We start from the raw sequence: 19882 nt of genomic DNA, 5'->3' as shown, positions 1-19882 counted from the left end.
TACCTAGGTATACACATTTGTCAAAATCTCATTAAAATATAAATGTAAAACACCTGCAATTTTTAAAATGTAAGTTATACCTCAATAAAGTGGCTTTTTACGAGGTCAAAAAATATTTTTAAAAATTAAAGAAGCTAAATCAGCAGGAGATTAATTTCTTCAAGGTTTATCTTTTTCTTTTTCTTTATTTTTTATCATTGAACTTGAAATCTTTTTCGAATAAGTTGCTAGAGAATATGCTTCCCAAAACTATGTTTTGAAACAAATTCACTTATAAAAATAACACGTTGGAATTGGGTATAATTCTGTTTAACTCCATATACCATTTTATGACCCATAGCACAGAATTTAGAATAAAGTAGTTTTTATTCTCAGAAGCTGATTAAATAAGGATGATGTCTTCATGCACATTTCTCAGTGATATATTTAAATCCTAAATCTTTAGTTATATATTAATACAAAATTTATACATTCCAAGTAAGTATATAGCCTTTTCTGAAACAAAAGGTAGTGGGAATAAAGCTGTGGGCCTCCAATCACTAGCATCAGTACCATTCAAAGTAAGGTGGGATATAGCAGGTTACAGAGGGCCAATATTCCCACTGCAATAACCAAAATTGCAAAAATTTTATTTTAAGGTATCAGAGTTCTCTGGAGGCAATGAAGTTTAGATTAATTCCAACATGAAGGGTGGGTAAATACTCCCTAGGCGAGTTGACCACAGTCACCTATCTTTTTCCCTTGAGGCACCTGGCAAGACATAAGTGCCACTGTAAGAGGCCCATGGCTCTTGGACTAAGGAGAATGAAACAAGCAGAGTCTTTGGTGTCCACACAGATCTGGAAGACTGGAAACTAGAGGAGACACAAATGCAAGACTGATTTTTAGCACTGATCATTTGCTATGTTCTGGAACAGTGTGGGAGGCTGGAGGCCTGGGGATGCTAGGCTAGAAAAGCCAAGTGAAATCTCCCATAGACTCTTGTTGCCTTGAAGATAAAATCCCACTGGACAGAAGGGGTCTGCAATAATAAAACTAGTCGCTCCCTGAAGACAGTTCGTATATTTTAAATTTGCCTGGAGCAGGAAGTTAAATAGTTAACACCTCAAAATCTTCAAAGGGCAAAAGTTTTAGGCCAAAGAAAGACACTTTCCAAAATTTGAATCAAAAGCCTGCATAGACCAGGGCTGAAGAATAATAAAAAACAAAAGTAGACTGACTTTTTTACTAAACCCTGGCTCAGTTCAGTCCCTGGGTGCAAGGCCAAATCATGAGCCCTCAGAAAACAAGGGCAAAACTTGCTTGGTCTTGATTTTTAATATGAACACAGGCCACAGTAGCACAGCTTCACAATTCTTTTTATCTTTTGGGTTTTAAACAAAAGTTGCCAGAAAAATTACGAGAGGATAATACACTTTATCTACCTAGTAGAGGGAAAGGGGGAACTCTCTGGTAAAAAGACATCATGCAGAGATGTTACTATTCTCTTAGACACAATGACCAGAATACAACCAAATGTTAACAGACATATGAATAGGCAGGAAAATGTGATCAAAATCAAATGAAAAAAATAGATAACGTACCCACAGATGATCCAGATGTTGGACTGAGTAGACTAACACTTCAAAATAACTAAGTTAAAATGTTAAAGAAAATAAAGAAAAAATAGGTAAAATAGATAAAAACATGAAAAAACTCAACAGATAAATGAATTATATACAAGAATAAAATAAACATTCTAGAATAAAGCTACACTGTATCTAAAATTAAATAATTGGATATCCTTAACAGTGACCTGGGCACAATAAATATAAAATTAGTGAGCTAAAAGATAGTATAAGATATCCATGTAGAAGCACAGAGAGCATAGGAAGAATAACAAGAACAGAACAGAGCATAACAAAAAATACATGGAAGACAGTCAAAAGGCTTAATATGTATGTATTTGGAGTTCCAGAGGAGAGGAGAGAGAAATTGGGGCAGTAGTAATATTTGAAGAGAAAATAGTTTTATATTTTCTAAAATTGATGAAAGACATCAACTTGTAGATTCAAGAAGTTCAGTAAACACCAAGCAGGATAAAAACAAAGTCATGCTCGAACATCTTGGTTAAAGCATAGAAAACCAAACTTTAAAAAAGGAAAAAAAAATATTAAAAGCTTCCAGAGGTAAAAAATACATTACCTACAAAGGAGCAACAACTATATTGAAGGCTGAATTTTCAAAGGAAATTGAAAGCCAGAATACAAAGAAATAACATTTTTAATAAGCTGGGTTGCGAGGGCTGGTAAAAAAAAAATGCCAATCTAAAATACTATACCCAGTGAATGTATCCTTCAAAAAATGAAAGTGAAATAAAAATGTTTTCAAACAAAAGCTGAAAAAGCTTGTACTGTGAGTGTACTAAAGGAAGTTCTTCATGTTAGAGAAGGCAACCCCAGATGATAGCTAACAGAAATTACAGGAAGAAATGAAACGCAATAGAAAAGGTAAATATAAAGTTATATTCAGGCCAGGTGCAGTCACTCATGCCTGTATTTCCAGTACTTTGGAAGGCCGAGGAAGGCAGATCACCTGAGGTCCGGAATTCGAGACCAGCCTGGCCAACATCCTGAAACCCCATCTCTACTAAAAATACAAAAACTAGCCAGGTGTGGTGGCACACATCTGTAATTCCAGCTACTTGGAAGGCTAAGGCATGAGAATCACTTGAACCCGGGAGGCAGAGGTTGCAGTGAGCGAGATAGTGCCACTGCACTCCAGCCTGGGCAACAGAGTGAGACTCCGTCTCAAAAAAAAAAAAAAGTTATATTCACTGCTTTAAATACAGTAATAATATGTTTTGTGGGCATTAAAACATATGTAAAAATTAAAATATATGAATATATGACTACAATAGCACAAAGGGTAAGAGGCAGTAACTACAGTTAAACCATCATAAGCTTTTTCATTGTTTGGGTGAAGCTTAAGGAAGGTGTTTTATAGTTAGTCAGGAATGCATTTTAAAATTTCTAGGGTAATCACTAAAAATAAACACAAGAGTGCATACTTAAAAAGTTAACTGAGCAGAAAAACTTAACCAATATCCCTGATGACTAAACCTTTCTCAGATCTACAATTCAATGTATAACAGTTGGCCCTAGAACATGACATTTTATTACATTCCCCCTGTTGGTTCCTGTGCTCACTCATTTCATGCCCACTGCAGTAGAACTTAGAAGAACATCCAGCAAATTTTTTTACAAATTGCTCATAGCTGTAATTATTAAGTACCACACATTATAAAAATACAAATCTATTCAGAGGCCACTAAAGAAAAATAAACAAGCATAAGCATAAATAATATCTAGCAATGAATAGAGAGGAAGAAGATAAATTTTTAGTATCAGTGCAGTGTTCCCAAGGGCACCTTCTATCATAAAACAAAGTAGAGGCCAATGAATACAGAAGAGTTTTCTCATTATCTCAGGCTTTCCCTGAATGAAACTATTAACTCTTACAAATCACAGACTCCTGTAGGAAGTGAACCACTGCTGTATCAAAAACAGGAATGAGATCACCAGATTTTCTTTCTCAACTTTGCATTCTGACAACAATCCCAGGCTCAGAGATTCGGAGGGATGGTTTACTGACATTTTGACAAGAGTCATGGTAACTACTACTACCACTGCTGATGCCGCTGCCATCCCTGTGCCTGCTGTTGATACTAACACTTGTTTGGCACGTTAGTTTGTAAAATATGTCAATATGCATTATTTCTTTACAGAAGTCCTAGGAGAAACATATCATAACATCTTCTTATTATCATACATAAGCTTATATGTGATAAGAAAACTGCAGTTCTAAATAAAGAACTTGTACATTTTGGGACATGTTTGCTACATGGCAAGCATTATCTAATACAGCAACCAAAATTAATATTCTGTCAGTGCTATTGTAAAACTGTTCAGGCAAGCAGTTGGCTTTCTATCTCTAACAGCCATCCAGCTTGTTCAATATCACAGGCCTAAATCCAAATTTTATCCTTCATAAGAAATAAAAACCAAATACAATGAAAGATGAAAGTAAATAATAGTGAAAGGAATCAAAGGGTTACAGTTACATGCAATGAAGACCTCAGTTGTTCATTTAACAAAGCTAGAACTATCCAAAATACACAGAGCTTTATGTGAAAATGACGAGAATTGAATACGATGAGAACTGATGCTCTTCATTTCAGAGATATATTACCCAAAGCAAGTCAACCCTGAAAGATGGGACATGTAGAAGCGATTAGAAGACAACATGCAATAATGCCCTTTATGGCTATTTATTTAATGTGTGTTCCCAACCTGCCACTTTAAACTTAATCCTCACTTTTATCTCTAGTAGATAGTACAGAATCTGGTATATATCAGGTTCTCAAAAGAATATTTCTGAATAAATAAGACTTGCCTAACCTTGTAATTCTACCTTAGCACTATCTCACTACTGTTTCTCGTAGATGTTTCTTATCAGCTTCTTGGAGCACAAGGGCCATGCTAGCTGCCACCTGATTCCCCAACAGCAAATATGTCTATGTGTGCATGTGCATGCACATGTGTGTGTATTGTATGTGTGTTTAAAGATGGTGAATGTGTCAGTAAGCTTTCAAACAATAGAGTAGACAGAAGTAAAGAAGTTGAAAATAAGGAGAAAGAGGGGATAATAGAATGAAAACTTTTTTTTAACCCTGACTTGAACACAGCCACAATAAAAGAATTTTTTTAGACAAATTAGGAAATTTGAATATGAAGTGGCTATTAGATGATACCAAGGAATAATTATTAATTCTGTTAGGTATGATAATGTCATTGTGGCTACACAAGAATATGTCTATTTTCTTTTTCTTTTTTTTTTTTTGAGATGGAGTCTCGCTCTGTCACTCAGGCTGGAGTGCAATGGCGCGATCTCGTCTCACTGCAACCTCTGCCTCCTGGGTTCAGACGATTCTCCTGCCTCAGCCCCCCTAGTAGCTGGGATTACAGGTATGCGCCACCATGCCCAGCTAATTTTGTATTTTCAGTAGAGACAGGGTTTCACCATGTTGTCCGGGCTGGTCTTGAACTCCTGACCTCAGGTGATCTGCCCACCTCGACCTCCCAAAGTGTTGGGATTACAGGCACGAGCCACAGTGCCCAGGCAAATATGTCTATTTTTTAAAAACATACAAACTAAAATATGTAAGATGAAAAGCCAAGGTGCCTGGCCAAATCTAGTAATTGTTGAATCTGGATAATAGATACATGAGTTTATTATTCTACTCTCTATATTTTCACATATGTATGCACAGTTAATAATAAAGAATTTTAAAAAATACTATTAGTCCTTCACATTTTACAATGAATAGATTCCAACAAAGGGTAGGAAGGACAACATAAAATCACAAGAACACGGTTCAAGATCAAGATCTAGCACCTTAGAAAAATGAGTCTCAATAAGAGTCTCAGCTTCCTCATCGGCACGGTAGAGATAAATGATCTCTGACATATTTTAAGTGACTAGGCTATTGTAATTTTCAAATAAGAAAATGTGTACAAGGGCATTTAGAACAAAATCTTTAAAGTGGCTCTGTGGCACAATGGATAGTGCATTGGACTTCTAATAAAGAATAAAATCTTTAAAGGACTATGTCTCTGCAGTAATAATTGAGGCAGAGCCTAAATGGTATCTGCAGAATAGAAAGGGAGACTCCCTCCAGGCAGATGAGGACATAAAGCCCCCTCTTTGGGCTGACACAGCCATATCCTGGGCTGGTTGGAGGCAGTGGAGCCACTAGGCAAAAAAAAAAAAAAAAAGGACAGGGTGGGTGAGGCACAGCTGGATTTGTGCTCACTCTCCCCAGGCTAGATGCTTTGGGTAACTCTACAAACTCCCCATCCTTTCTCTGTGTTTCCAGATGGAATCCAATATTTTCCTTATAACAAGGTGGAAGCAGCCTCTCTTCATGAGTTTGAGTAGAGTGGAAGAAAGAGGTGGAGGAATAGGAGGAGATGGATTTGGTAGTAGGTGTCTTTCTGCCTGGTGTGTTCCAAAGAGCAATGATTGGCAAACTCCCACCAGGTCCATTGCAAAGCAGGTGAGAGAGAGCACCAGGAGGTGTAGCATAGTTCAGAGAGGGAAAAGAGAAGGACTCAGCAATGTGACCACTACCTCCTTCCTTCAGTCATGCCTTGGGCTGGCCCAAAGTCTTACCATCCTCCACGCAGAGCTGCCTTGCACTTGAAAGATGAGTAAGCCATGTGGGCTGAAAGACCTGAACCAGAAGCAAGAGAAACAGTCTTGGGTCAGGTTTCTGTTTCCCATTCTAAATTAACTTGCTGCAAATTATTAAACCAAAGGCCATTATCTCAACATCATAAACCTTATTTCTAATTGAGATGATCAATGCCTCTTTCAGAATTATACATTCCAATTAGCAGGGAATAAGGTTATTTCTACTGTGCACTGGAATGCTAAAATTATCCTTGAAAAGTTTTTAAAAAATACTTCAATTATATGAAAGTATTAGTCTTCTGTCAGGCTTGTTCTGAAACATGGGTTCTTCATATTCCACTTAATGGAATTATGGCTTCATTAAATATATTTGCTTGTAAAAATATGTTCTTCAATATTTTAACAAAATGTCTCTCAAAATTTTGTTTTGTTTTGAGATGGAGTCTCACTCTGTCGCCCAGGCTGGAGTGCAGTGGCTTGATCTCGGCTCACTGCAACCTCTGCCTCCCGGGTTCAAGCAACTTTCCTGCCTCAGCCTCCCGAGTAGCTGGGATTATAGGCGCCTGCCACCACACCTCTCTAATTTTTGTATTTTTAGTAAAGACAAGGTTTCACCATGTTGACCAGGCTGGTCTCGAACTCCTGACCTCAGGCGATCTGCCCGCCTCAGCCTCCCAAAGTGCTGGGATTACAAGTGTGAGCCATCGCACCCGGCCGTCTCTCAATGTTTTTAACTAGCAGCACATGTGTACCTCAGCTGTGAGTTCTGCAATGTCTCATATCCTATGTACATGTTATTTGCATCTAAAAAATTAACATGACCTTATTATAGAAGATAATTTTACCCAAGGGAGACACACAAGACCTGGCACTAGATTGTCTATGGTATTTCCCCATCATGTAATTACTCAGTGCTTTTTAAAAAGTGTTATGTGCTCTGCAGAAAGATGATCCCACCACAATATATTAGCTCTCTTCTAGACACATATGTAATCACCCAAGGTTCATCTTGCCAACTGCTCAGAAGAGCCAATGCACCAAGGACAGTGGGTTTTTGCAACAGAGTGTTTAATAAATGCAGAGCCAGCTAAGCAAGAGGACAGGAGGTTATTATCACTCAAATCAGCTCCCTGAAAATTTGGACGCTAGGGATTTTTAATGATAGCTTGGCAGGCAGAGGCCTAGGAAATGGGGAATGCTGATTGGTTGGGTCAGGGATGAAATCACGCAGTGGGGGGTCGAAGCTGTCTTCTTGTCCTGAGTCAATTTCTGGGTGGGGCCCACAAGACCAGATGAAGCAATTTATTGGTCTAAGTGGCACCAGCTGGTCCGTCAGAATGCAGGATCTGAAAAATACCTCGAACACCAATCTTAGATTTTACAATAGTGATGTTATCCAGCTGGGAGGTTAGGAATCTTGTGGCCTCTGGCTGCATGACTCCCGAGTCATAATTTCTAATCTTGTGGCTAATTGGTTAGTTTTACAAAGGCAGTCTGATGTACAAACAAGGAAGGAGTTTGTATCCTTTGTTTCTAAATTGAACTATAACTAAATTCTTCCCATAGTTAGCCTACTCCCAGGAATGAACAAGGGCAGCTTAGGGTTAAAAGCAAGAGGAAATCAGTTAGGTCAGATTTCTTTTATTGTCATAATTTTCCTAAATCAGGTTTTTCTCTTTCATAATTTTTGCAAAGGCAGTTTCACACAGACCTGATTAAAAGCTCAGAAACATGGTTTCTAAAAATACAAGGCTAGAACTAGACTTGAATTCTAGGTCTGTCACTCCCTACCTAGTAACTTGACTTCTCTTGCTTTAGGTTTCATCGCCTGCAAAATGGGTTGATGAGGAGATTAAGTAAAATAATGTATGCAAAACTTATATCATGTAATAAATAGATGCTCAGTAAATACCAACACTACCTTACTCAATATCCCGTATATGATAATGGCTTAATAAATAGTCATTCATTTAATTGGAAATACAGTTCCAAAGATGTTTTTACTAGTTCTGCAAATGAGGAATATTATTTCTAGTAGTAGTTATGGTTCAGTCAACAACAGGATATGTTCTGGGCAAAATTTCCAATAAGCCAAATTGGCCCTGGTGCCTTCTTTGCTATTGCATGCTCCTTGTACACAGCTTGGCACTTTTCTCTCTGGCCCCCTCAAAGACGCTCCAGAAATGCTGCCCTGTGTTGTCTCGCATTATAACCTCCAAGAAGCCTTAGAGTCCCCAGAAAGCAATCTGGTTGAAAATCAATTCTTATCTGGCAATGACTGTCTAACCCACCCAGAAATATGTGCATTTTAAAAAGAAGCCCAGGATGATAATTCAAACAAAGAACAAATGGGCAGAATTTCAGGCAGCCATCGAACAGAAGACTTTTTTTGCATGGGAGAGGCATCTGGGGACAAGGACAGGTTAGGACTGGGACCTCCTAAATTATAGCATTTAGGCTGCTCATGGGGCTTTGACTACCCAATGAGCAAAGTGCACTCGTGAGTATGGCTTCCTCTGTGGAAGGAAGGGGTTAATACTCTAGGGACCTTTTCTTCTGGAGACCCATTGGCTGTATGTTTTTCTCCCCCAGCACCACAACTGTATAAGAAATGCCAGTTGAAAGTATGAAAATCAAAGTTTCATCCCACAGAAAAATTTAAATACTGTAACTTCAATAGCATTTTTGTCCTAAAGTGGGAATTTGTGATAAGAGAACATTTTTCTTCAGATAAGAAATTACTGAATTCCAAAAGTAATTTCACTTCCAGAAAAGATAAAAATAATAACTTCCAGAAATGAAGAATTCCTTGCATTATAATCATAAATGCTTATAGATGATTAAAAAGAATAGGATAGGCCCAGAATGGTGAAATCCACAAATAATCCCTGGATTTTACTGTTTGTCATCTTTTTCAACCTATCTTACCTCAAATATTTTTATAAAAAATGTTAATAAGCAAGAAAGTCAACCAGTTTTACAAATCCTAGCACACAATACCCCCCAAATAAATTATGATGGTAGCAACAGTGGTGGAGAAGTTAATGAGGACGGGAAAAGTGTAAATAGGGCAAGGGGTACCTCTATTAACTAAATGACTTCTGAATCGTCATTTACAATTTTGCCTAAAATAAAATCCCTGACCTTGGCTTTGATAGTGCAGGAAATAGTATTTTCACACCAATGCTGTAGGAGTATATATTACCATTTACAAAGCTATCATTTCTTTTTGTTTATCTTGTCTCAAATGATTTTTTTCCTTTCATTTCTTATAGCTCAAAGCAGAGAATGATGGAAACGATGGGAACACTTCCCCCAAAAGTACCAGCAGACCTTGGCTGAGACCTGTCTCTTTAGATGAAGTTAGGTGAGGATATTAGGGGAAACTAGAACCTGTTCTTATCTTCTTGAAATATCACTTGCAGAAAATAAGCATTAACTCCACTGAAGCACAGTGAGAATTTTTCCTCAAAGCCTCTTCACACCCTGCCTTAATTATGGCCTCACTGATGCTCTCTGGGAAAAAGTGTTTTGGAGTAATTAGAACTGCCAACATCAATAGTGCCACCAGAAATGCTGGTGCCAGACCCCCCAGGTGGTTTGCATGTCAAGAATGGCCTCCCAGATAGCTTCTTCTCCTAGAAATGTAAATAAACACAGCTGGTTCTCTTTCACACTTGAGATAAGCCAAGAGCTCTGAGTCCAAATCCTCACCTCCCTGTGGGTGGAGACCACCTCACCTGGCCAGAACAGTCCCAGGCCTCTCCAAGACCATTCCCCCTTGGCTGCTGTTCTCAAAGTTTTGCCCCTGGCTGCTTTACCACTCCTGACTTAATGTAAGGTCAAATCTTACATTCATTCTCATTCATTTTATCAGTGAGTCTTTATTCCTCAGATACCTCCATTCTCTTTTCCTTGTTACATAACCAGTACTTTAGAGAAATACAGAGTAGCTGGGTTGAACATCTTGCCCACAGGGAGTTACTGAAGCTCTAGGAGTGATGAAGTCTTCTTGCTTTTGTTACTCTCGAGGTTGCCTCACCTTTTCCCCCTTTTCACTTTTCCAATGCCTCTTCAACTAGTTTCCATAATAAATGCCCTCTACTGCCTGGCATGGGTTCTGTTTTCCAGACTGGATGCTGACCATTGCAAATAAGCCTCAGCAATGGTTGAGTTCTCCAGGTTTTTGCTGATGTTGAAGAACAAATGATGGGTTCAGGACACACCACACCAAAATATGACTGCGGGAGATCAGAATATGCCACCCTAAAATGTGCCTTTTTGGCATATTGATTATTTTGAGCTGGTTATTCTGAGAAACTGCAGACACAGAATGTCTAAAAAGTTACCCTTTTTAAGAGAAATTTACATCAATAAAGAAAACTTCCATTTGTAATGGTGTTTCCCTCTCTGCACCAGAAAGAAAAAGACAACTAAATCTCGAGACTCAATCAATGGTGAAGGCATAACAAATCTTACTTTTGTTTAACCTGCTTTTCATGGCCATCTCCTCTTAATTTGGCCTTTCCTCCCAGCCTCCTGTAATTTGCCTCCACTCTTGTCCCCCAACCCCAAATCTCTATTCTTTTCTGTAGTTCCAGGTGACACATAAACCTTAATCATCTGACAACTTCTTTAGGTATCATACTTTTGTGGGACTCCCATGCACATAATTAAAATTGTTTTCTTCTGTTAATCCTATGTCAATTTAATTTCTACACCAGCAAGAACCTAGAAAGGTAGAAGGAGGCAATTTTTCCTCCCCTGCAATGGTTTTGCCTGGCCCTCTACAATGTATTCAGGTCTCTTGTGTGTCTTCTAGCTACTGTGATCTGTTTCTATCCACAGAACACCAAACATTGGTGAGGGGAGGAAGGTCTCACACTAACCAATTCTCTAACTCTCAGGATACCAACTAGGTGTCCTACAATTCAATTATGACACTATGTACCTGGAGCTAGCAACAGATTCCATAGGTTAAGGGCCCAGCCCCACGACAAGGCTACCCTCATTTTAGATGCCAATCCGAAGTTCAGACCTCCCATGCTTCTGACCAACTGGCTATAAATCAGGGGTTCCCATTTTGACAAATGGTCATTTTTAGGTGCTCAAAGTTAAAACAGAACCAGGCAGCATGGCAGCGTGAGGGAGCAGTCAGGTACTCCGTGTTCTCAGAAAGATATTGTAAAAGTACCATAGGACCTCCCTTTCTAAAATCAAGCCAAACTAGTTCCTGTTTTTGGTACCAAGATAAACTGTGGCCCAATACACCCCTACTGGCTGTTTGAAAGAAACATCTGACAGACTTCCAGTGTGGGGCTTGGAAGCCAACCAATCAAATATCAGCTGTGTCAACCAATCAGGGCTCAGCTGTATTGACCAATCGGAACTTAGCTGTGCCAACCAATCAGAACTAAGCGTGTTTCAATCCTTCATTCGTATGAACAGACCTAATTGGGAACCTGGGCCGGAATTTTGCTATAAAGCTCAAACACTCTCTTTGCTCTCTGGAAGGTATCTTCCTTTTACTCCAAAGGCTGCTTCTGCCAGTTTGCAAACTATTTGCTGAAAAAAAAGTCTCTTTCCTCCAAATTCCTTTTTCAGAGAACTTTTTTTCACAGCTCCTAGCAAAACTCACAGAACTCAGGAAAACACTGCTTACATTCACAGGCTTATTCTAAACGATACAACTCAAGAACAGTCGCATGGAAGAACTGCATTAGGCAAGGTATGTGGGAAGGAGTGCGGAACTTCCATGTTCTCTCTGGGTGCACCACCCTTCCAGCACGTCACTGTGTTCATCAACCTAAATGCTCTCCAAACACTGTCATTTAGGGTTTTTATGAAAATTTCATTATGTGGGCATGCTTGATTAAATCATTGACCATTGGTGATTGACTTAATCTCCAGCCCCTCTCCCCTCTTCAAAAGTCAGGGGGTGGGGCTGAAAGTTCCAGCCCTCTCATTATGCCTTGGTCTTTATGGTGAGCAGTCCCCAGCTTTCTAGGGGCCCCAGCCACAAAACATCTCATTACCATGCAAAAGACAGTCATCACTGTGGGGATTGCAAGGGTCTTCAAAGCTTGGTGTCAGGGACCTGGGACTAAGACCAAATATTATAACAAAAGATGTTTCTATTATTACACCTATCATTCAGGAAATTACCAGGATTTTAGGAGCTCTGTGCCAGGAACTGGGGGTGAAAGCCAAATATATATTCTATATCACAATATCACACTGGCCTTCAGGAACACTGAGCTGACATCCGCTATTACAGGCTATGATTCCAGTCATTTGCTTCCATTTAACAGGTCCTCAAATTCTTCATTTATTTCTTCTAATCCCCAGCCCCTGATGGTACTCCAACCTCTGAGTGTCTCCAAACCCTCTCACTGGGGCACTCAGGGGCTCTGTGATATCCTGCAGGTTGTGGTTGCCCAGAGCCTCAGGCTCATCTCTCTTTCCTGTTATCTCTGTTTCTCTCTCTCTCTCTCTGAACCCCACTCTATCCCATTCTACCCCATTGCCCTTTCACTGTTTGAGATATGGTGCCATTTTAAATGCAGACGCTTGCATTCTTCCCCAGGCTCTTGTAGAGGAAAGAAGAAGAAAACCTTTTTTCTTTACCCACCTTAGGTTTTCTGGCTGGGGCCATATAAATTAGTCTTGCAAAATATTAAAAAGAGAAAAACAAACATAAGTTTAACACATGCATGTACACATGGGAGCACCCAGTGATAAATAACCCCAAGGGATGGTTAGAACTTGGGCTTGTATAACATCTTAGGCTAAACAAAGGAAAGAAATTTGAGCTTCTGGGTGGTCAAGTTATGGGAAGGTAACCAGGAAAAGTATAGTAACCCAGGGTTTTTTAGTAAGGTTTGTTATAAAGATTTAAGTATGTACCTTCTCCACTGATAAGAGTTGTTAAGAATCCTACTCTTTCTGCTATGATAGAGGGAGACACCTTTTACAAATGGAAACTTCCTTTATAAATGTAACTTTTCCTTTACAAAAAGAAAACTTGTGCCTTGTTTTTAGAGTTCTCCTTACAACTGCCGGTTCTCAATGGCTTTAGTTCAAAATAACTCATATGCCAAAGAGGCATATATTGGGGTTGTGTATTCTGGTACCCTCTAATATGTTTATGGAAGTGGGCCACTACTACCAATTTCATTACATTCCCTCATGCTTACACACGTGTTTCTAGACCTCACCTCTTACCATGGTTCAACCCTAAGAGAATAGGAGAAAGCAAGGACACTGACACCTCCTTCTTTCACTCCCTCCCTTCTATCTATCCTTTTCTCCTTCATATTAGAAGAATCTTGTTTTATTTCTTTATCTTGTTTGTCAGGGCCTTGACTCCAATTATTTCCTTCTCCTCAAATCATTGTTTATACTCACCACTTTTCTGGGACTCACACTGACAGAAAGGCTGCAAGAAAACATTTCAAGTTGGAAAAGGAAATGAAAAATACATTCATTTAATATTTTAATATACTCCCCTCACTCCATGATCCATCTACTACATCTCTTTCAAATGCCCCTCAAAGGACATTTATTCTATGTAGGTCTCTTCTCTTTCTAAGAAAGTGAGAGCTAGATCTCTGATCTCCATTTATCCTCTAGTCCTGTGCTGTCCAATATGGTAGCCACCAGCCACATGTGAATATTGAGCCCTGGAAATGTGGTTTGTCCATTAAGATGTGCTGTAAATGCATTAGAATACATACCAGATTTTGAAGACTTAGTATTAAAAAAGAATGTGGTATATTGCATCAATAATTTTTATATTCATTGCATGTTGAAATGACAGATATATTGGGATAAATAAAATATATTGTTAAATTAATTTCAGTGGTCTCTTCTTACATTTTAACATAGCTATTAAAAAACTTTAAATTGGCCAGGTGCAGTGGCTCATGCCTGTAATCTCAACACTTCAGAGGCCAATACTGGAGGATCACTTGAGGCCAGAAGTTCAAGACCAGCCTGGGCAACATAGTAAAATCCCATCGCTATAAAAAAAATTTTGAAAAATAGCAAGGCATGGTGGTGCACACCTGTAGTCTTGGCTCCTCAGGAGGCTGAGCTGAGAGGACTGTTTGAGCCCAGAAATTTGAGATTTCAGTAAGCCATGATTATACCATTGCACCCCTGGGTAACAAAATGAGACCCCATACTCTAGGGAAAAAAAACCTTTAAATTACACATGTGTATGCATCTTATTTCTATTAGCCAGCTGCCAGCTTCATGAGACCTAGGACAATTGCTGGTTATTAAGTATTGTACACATGGCTGGTAGCTAGTGGATTGGCCCTGGGGTGGCCATACCAATTGTTTACTGATGTTATTGGTTTTGGCCCTGACATCATGAGTGGTTAAATATTTTTTCTATCACCTGATTGCATTGCCATTAGCTACCACAGTGCCCACATATAGCAATAGATGGATGGATGGATGGATGAAAACACAAATGATACTTTTTCAGTATCTAAAATTTCCATGCAACTCTGACACGACAGATGATTGCATAAATCTGTCACACTATCCAAATTTTCATTCCCTGCCCTATGATCCAAAAGCCTAAACTAGAGTGATCACATTAATGTCAAAGAACAAGAAGTAAAAAAAGCCTCCTGCCCCATCTCTTGCGGGGGAGACTGAATTTCCACTTTCAAATGTAGAATCATATGAGTAACAAGATATACAAGCACAATTCATGTGAGTTTTTCTGTCTCCATTCCCAGCCTAAGCTACCGTGACAAGGCCAACTTCACACAGGGCTGAGCAACAGCTGTTTATACCGAATGACTGTAGAGCCCCAAGAGACACTTCTACCACTAAAATGCCTTTCTTTTCTTCCTTGGAGAGCTCTTCCCTGTTGACTGTAGGGGGTTGAACTGCATAACCACAAAAATTCATGTGTTAAAAGTCCTAATCCCCATTACTTCAGAATGTAAACTTGTTTGGTAATAGGGTTGTTGCAGATCTAATTAGATGAGGTCTTCCTGAAGTAGTGTGGGCCTCTAGTCCAGCAGGACTGGAGTCCTTATAAAAAGAGGAAATTTGAAGTCAGACATGCACACAAGGAGAAGACAATGTGAAGATGAAAGCAGAGGTTGGGGTGATGCAGCAAAAACCACGGAACGCCAGAGGCTGCCAGCAAACCCCCAGATGCTGGGAGGGAGGCATAGAACAGATTCTTCCTCACAGACCTCAGAAGGAACTAATCCTGCCAAAATCTTGATCTCAGATGTCTACTCTTCACAGCTGTGAGACAATAAATTTCTGATGTTAAAGTCACCCAGCTTGTGGCACTTTGTTACAGCAGCCCTAGAAAATTAATACACTTTCTTGATCTAAATCAGACTCCTAGTTCTTCCTCATACCACCTCCTTTGTGGTACTTACCAAATTTGTAAATATTTTTCCCTGTGTGTCTGTCTGTGTAATGTCTATGTCTCCATTTTTCTCCAAGCTCAATGCGACACCAGTGTCTGTTTTGTCCACCACTGTCCACCCAACATTTAGAAATGAAGAGTCCCTTCATAAGCACTTTTTGATGAATACCTGGGCTGTCCGGCCATTGGAAGCAGAAATGCAACTGTTAAAGGACCACAGGCAGCGCTCCTCAGAAAGAAAAGCCAGAATGCAGGATGGTGCACACTGACAGGCTGTCTCAGCAGCCCTCTTTCAACAAGGTAAAAGATGAAGGTGGCCGGGCACGGTGGCTCATGCCTGTAATCCCAGCACTTTGGGAGGCCGAGGCGGGCTGATCACAAGGTCAGGAGATCAAGACCATCCTGGCTAACACGGTGAAACCCCTTTCTTACTAAAAATACAAAAATTAGCCAGGCGTGGTGGCGAGCACCTGTAGTCCCAGCTACTTGGGAAGCTGAGGCAGAAGAATGACCTGAACCCTGGAGGCAGAGCTTGCAGTGAGCCAAGATCGTGCCATTGCACTCCAGCCTAGGCAACAGAGCGAGACTCTGTCTCAAAAATAACAAAGGGTGAAGGTTAGCGCTGACCTCTTTGGCACAGGCTAGTCTATTCAGTTATCTAACTGGATCAGGCAGAGATCAGGAGCCTGAAGTAAGTTCTAGAAATAGAACCCCATTCCCCTGGAGACGGCAGACCTAAAGGAAGCATCACAGCGTGCATGTATTGTTGAAGAGGCAGGAGGAGTGTTCCTCTAGAATGGCAGCAACAAGCAAGCACAAGGAACCAAGCCCTTGGCAGTGGAAGGAAACCAGCTGAAGCAAGACAAGCAGAAATGATCACAGTAGCTACCACTTATTGAGTCTCAAGTGAGTGCCATGCTGAATGCTTTTCTTACATTATTTCATTAAATCCCCATAACAGACTCACCAATAAGTACTATTATTACCATTTTACATGAAAAAACTGAAGTTGAGAGAGGTTAAGCAATTTGCTCACGGGCACACTGTTAATGAATCATAAGCTAGAATTTAAAGCCAGAGATCTGCTGTTTTGATACTTTCCTAGCTTTGCAGCCTTGCATAGAACTGGCCTTGATGACTTTCTTTCATGCTGTGATTACCAAAATCTGAAAAACCTACATGTTTTAGAAAGCATTACTTACCAATAATTGCTTACTGTCTATCTCCACCTATTAGAAAGCAAACGTCTTGAGATAGCAAATGCATACTCAAACTTATTAGGATTTCGATCCAGTGAACAGTAGGAGCTCAAAAATATTTGTATTAGGAATGAATCAAATAAGCACTTATTGACCACCTAGATGTACTTTAGAAGACATTAATGTTAAAAAAAAACTTCATATTAGAAAAAGAACCCTTACAAAACTACTGCACTAGAATGAAGCATTTATCTTTTCCACTTTTCAATTGCGAAGTACTGCAATATAGTTAAAGTTTCTGTGAATAAAAAACTATTCTGTGCTGCCCTATAGAAAGTTCCCACCCTTAGTTTTACAAACTTCCCTTCTCTGTATATTCATTTTCTTCTTCTAGCTGCTTGTGCTCAACTCTCCATTGGATTCTCTTTTGCATACCTATCCCAGTTTTGCTTGCTAAACCAGGAACTTTTTGTTTTAAGAAAATATTCAGGGGCCCAGGGGAGGGATAGCATTAAGAGAAATACCTAATGTAAATGATGAGTTTATGGGTGCAACAAACCAACATGGCACATGTAAACCTATGTAACAAACCAGCACGTTGTGCACATGTACCCCAGAACTTAAAGTATAATTTTTTAAAAAGGAAAATATTAAAGGTAATCAAACAGCAGATATTTTCAAATTAGATAACTCTAAAAGATAGCTAAACCTATTAAGATTAGGCAGCTGTTGATGATAAACCTCAGAATAACTTTCTCTCTCCCCTAATACAGAAATCAGAAATCAACTGGCAGGTGCACAAGCAAGATACCAAATTCCCGTTTCCCAGCCAAGCTCCTGTGGTGAAATTGTTCCTTGGCAAATGTCCCTTTTTTTTTTTTTTTTTTTTTTTAACTTTGCCTTAAGAGGAGGAAAAGCTGCCAAATGCCAACTTGGAGAATAGTGTACAAAATGCTAAATATAAAGAGTTGAGGAATATCAGGGGCTATTTTAAAAATTAGTCTCTAATAGAGCCTGTAGTATCCTCATATGTCTAGGAAACAGCATGGCAGTCATGTTGGTTTACACCAAAAGCAATAATTCTAGGTTCAAAAGCCCAATCTACAACAGCGCTAGTAAATCTCAGTATCTTTCAACTGAAGGCCAACCTATTTAACATTTCCTGCACTCAACAGCACAAACTCAGAAAATGAGAAGCTAAGTGGAAAAACAAGTGATCAGTGGAGTTGAAAGTACTTCTGCTCTCTCTTCAGATATGACTTGGAAGTCAAATATTACAATAAAAGAGCTCACCCAAGGCTCAAATCTTGAATAGTAACTCACGCTGGTCATAAGCTCCACAATGGGAGGCTTTGAGGGGCAAAAACGCATGCATTTTGTACCTTGATATTTATGATGTTCTATCGCCACCTCCTGGAAGAAAAGACCAAGAACGCCAAAAAAAAAAAAAAAAAAAAAAAAGGGTGCTTAGTATTAAGGCTTCCAGTGAAGATAAATTTCTTCAATTCTCAAGAAAGGTAAAGACATTCTGCAGCCGCTGACAGTTCCATTTCAGATGAATTAGCATAATGTTGGGCAAACAGCAAACCTAAAAGGCAAATGTTCAAGACTCTAGCGTCAGTTATTTGCCAGCAAAAGATAACATCAAACATATGAGTAATGAGCCTTTAAAGTTGCCAGTCCCCAGGGAAGATTTGAGTTCTCATTAGTAAAGAGATATGAGATCCCATTTTGCCAGAGTCAATAGCACCGCATGAACACAGAGAGATACTAGAAGAATAATTTCCACACTTGGCTCTGAAAATAATCATCCTTATCTTTGCATTTTAAGTCTCAGAATTTGGCAAAAGAGTTCTAAGGATTTTAAAACATTAATAACAAGACTAAGAATGTTCCCAGATGAACTCTTATTTCTCAGACTATCTTGTTGGAGTTATTTACACATATGGCACAAACAAAGCCAAATGAATTGGAATATTTGACTTTCTCTCCACAAGATCTTACCAGTCTTTGTTTCTCAAGGTTTAGTTTGCATAAGGACAAAGGAATACAGTCGAATACTTAAAAGTATTATTTTAAAACACACTTTTATCTTGATAGTTATGTCTTTTCCATCAATATCTCTATTCACTATGTGAAAAAAAAAAGTCATACAACTTCAGAGTAGAAAGCATTTCAGTCCAACCACTTCACAGTCGCAAATCACAAGCTATTCACCCAGGAGGAAGAGCTGCTAAAGTCAATTCCCACTAAATTTCACCAGGGGCAGTTTAAACCTTCTGTTCTGTCTAGACATTTTGCCCTCCTCTGCCCAAACATCCTGACTTTTAAGGAGTTTTACAGCTTAGTCAACTCACCAACATCCTGAAGTAGGCTGAGATTGCAGATTTCTTTTCTGAATACCAATTATGCTTATTTATAAAACACAGAACATGGAGCAGAGAATTTAAGATTTTAGAGCTGCAAGTCACCTTCCTTTTATAATCCACAAAAGTGATTTGCTGTGATACCTGATGGCCTCTTTTGGAAAACAGAAGGCTTGAACACAGCATTGAAATGTGTCAGACTTTCTTTTTAAAATTTTTTCAGCTTCTTTTGAGGGTATATCCTGTAAAGCACTATGAGAAACATCCGAAAGACACAATTCTTATCCCCCAAAAGCCAATTATGTTGTCTGACTTCGGTTTCCTAAGCTACCCACAAACTGAAAGGCAAGGTATGGTGGTCAAAGAGTAAAGTCGACGTCTACACAGAAGCTTCCCTCTTTCCCTCAGCTCTGCCTCTTTCCAGTGCTGCTCATGTGATATGATACTTAGTCAAGCTTACTTTTTAAGTCAGCCACTTCGTGGGAACACTTTCCGGAGTGATGGCCAGCAGAATAGCTAAACTTTGTTACTGCCAAACCTCTTCTTGAGACAGGAACTCTGCCTACACAAAGCAAAAACAATATTTCAGCATCCCACCCTCCCTTTGAACCCACATTTGGAGTCATAGTTTCAGTTTTCATAACTATCCGGAAAACTGAAATGCTTCACTGGCCCAC

Source organism: Homo sapiens, chromosome 12 (genome assembly GCF_000001405.40).
Source record: "Homo sapiens chromosome 12, GRCh38.p14 Primary Assembly".
Lineage (NCBI taxonomy): Eukaryota > Metazoa > Chordata > Mammalia > Primates > Hominidae > Homo > Homo sapiens.
This window is presented reverse-complemented; position numbering follows the sequence as displayed.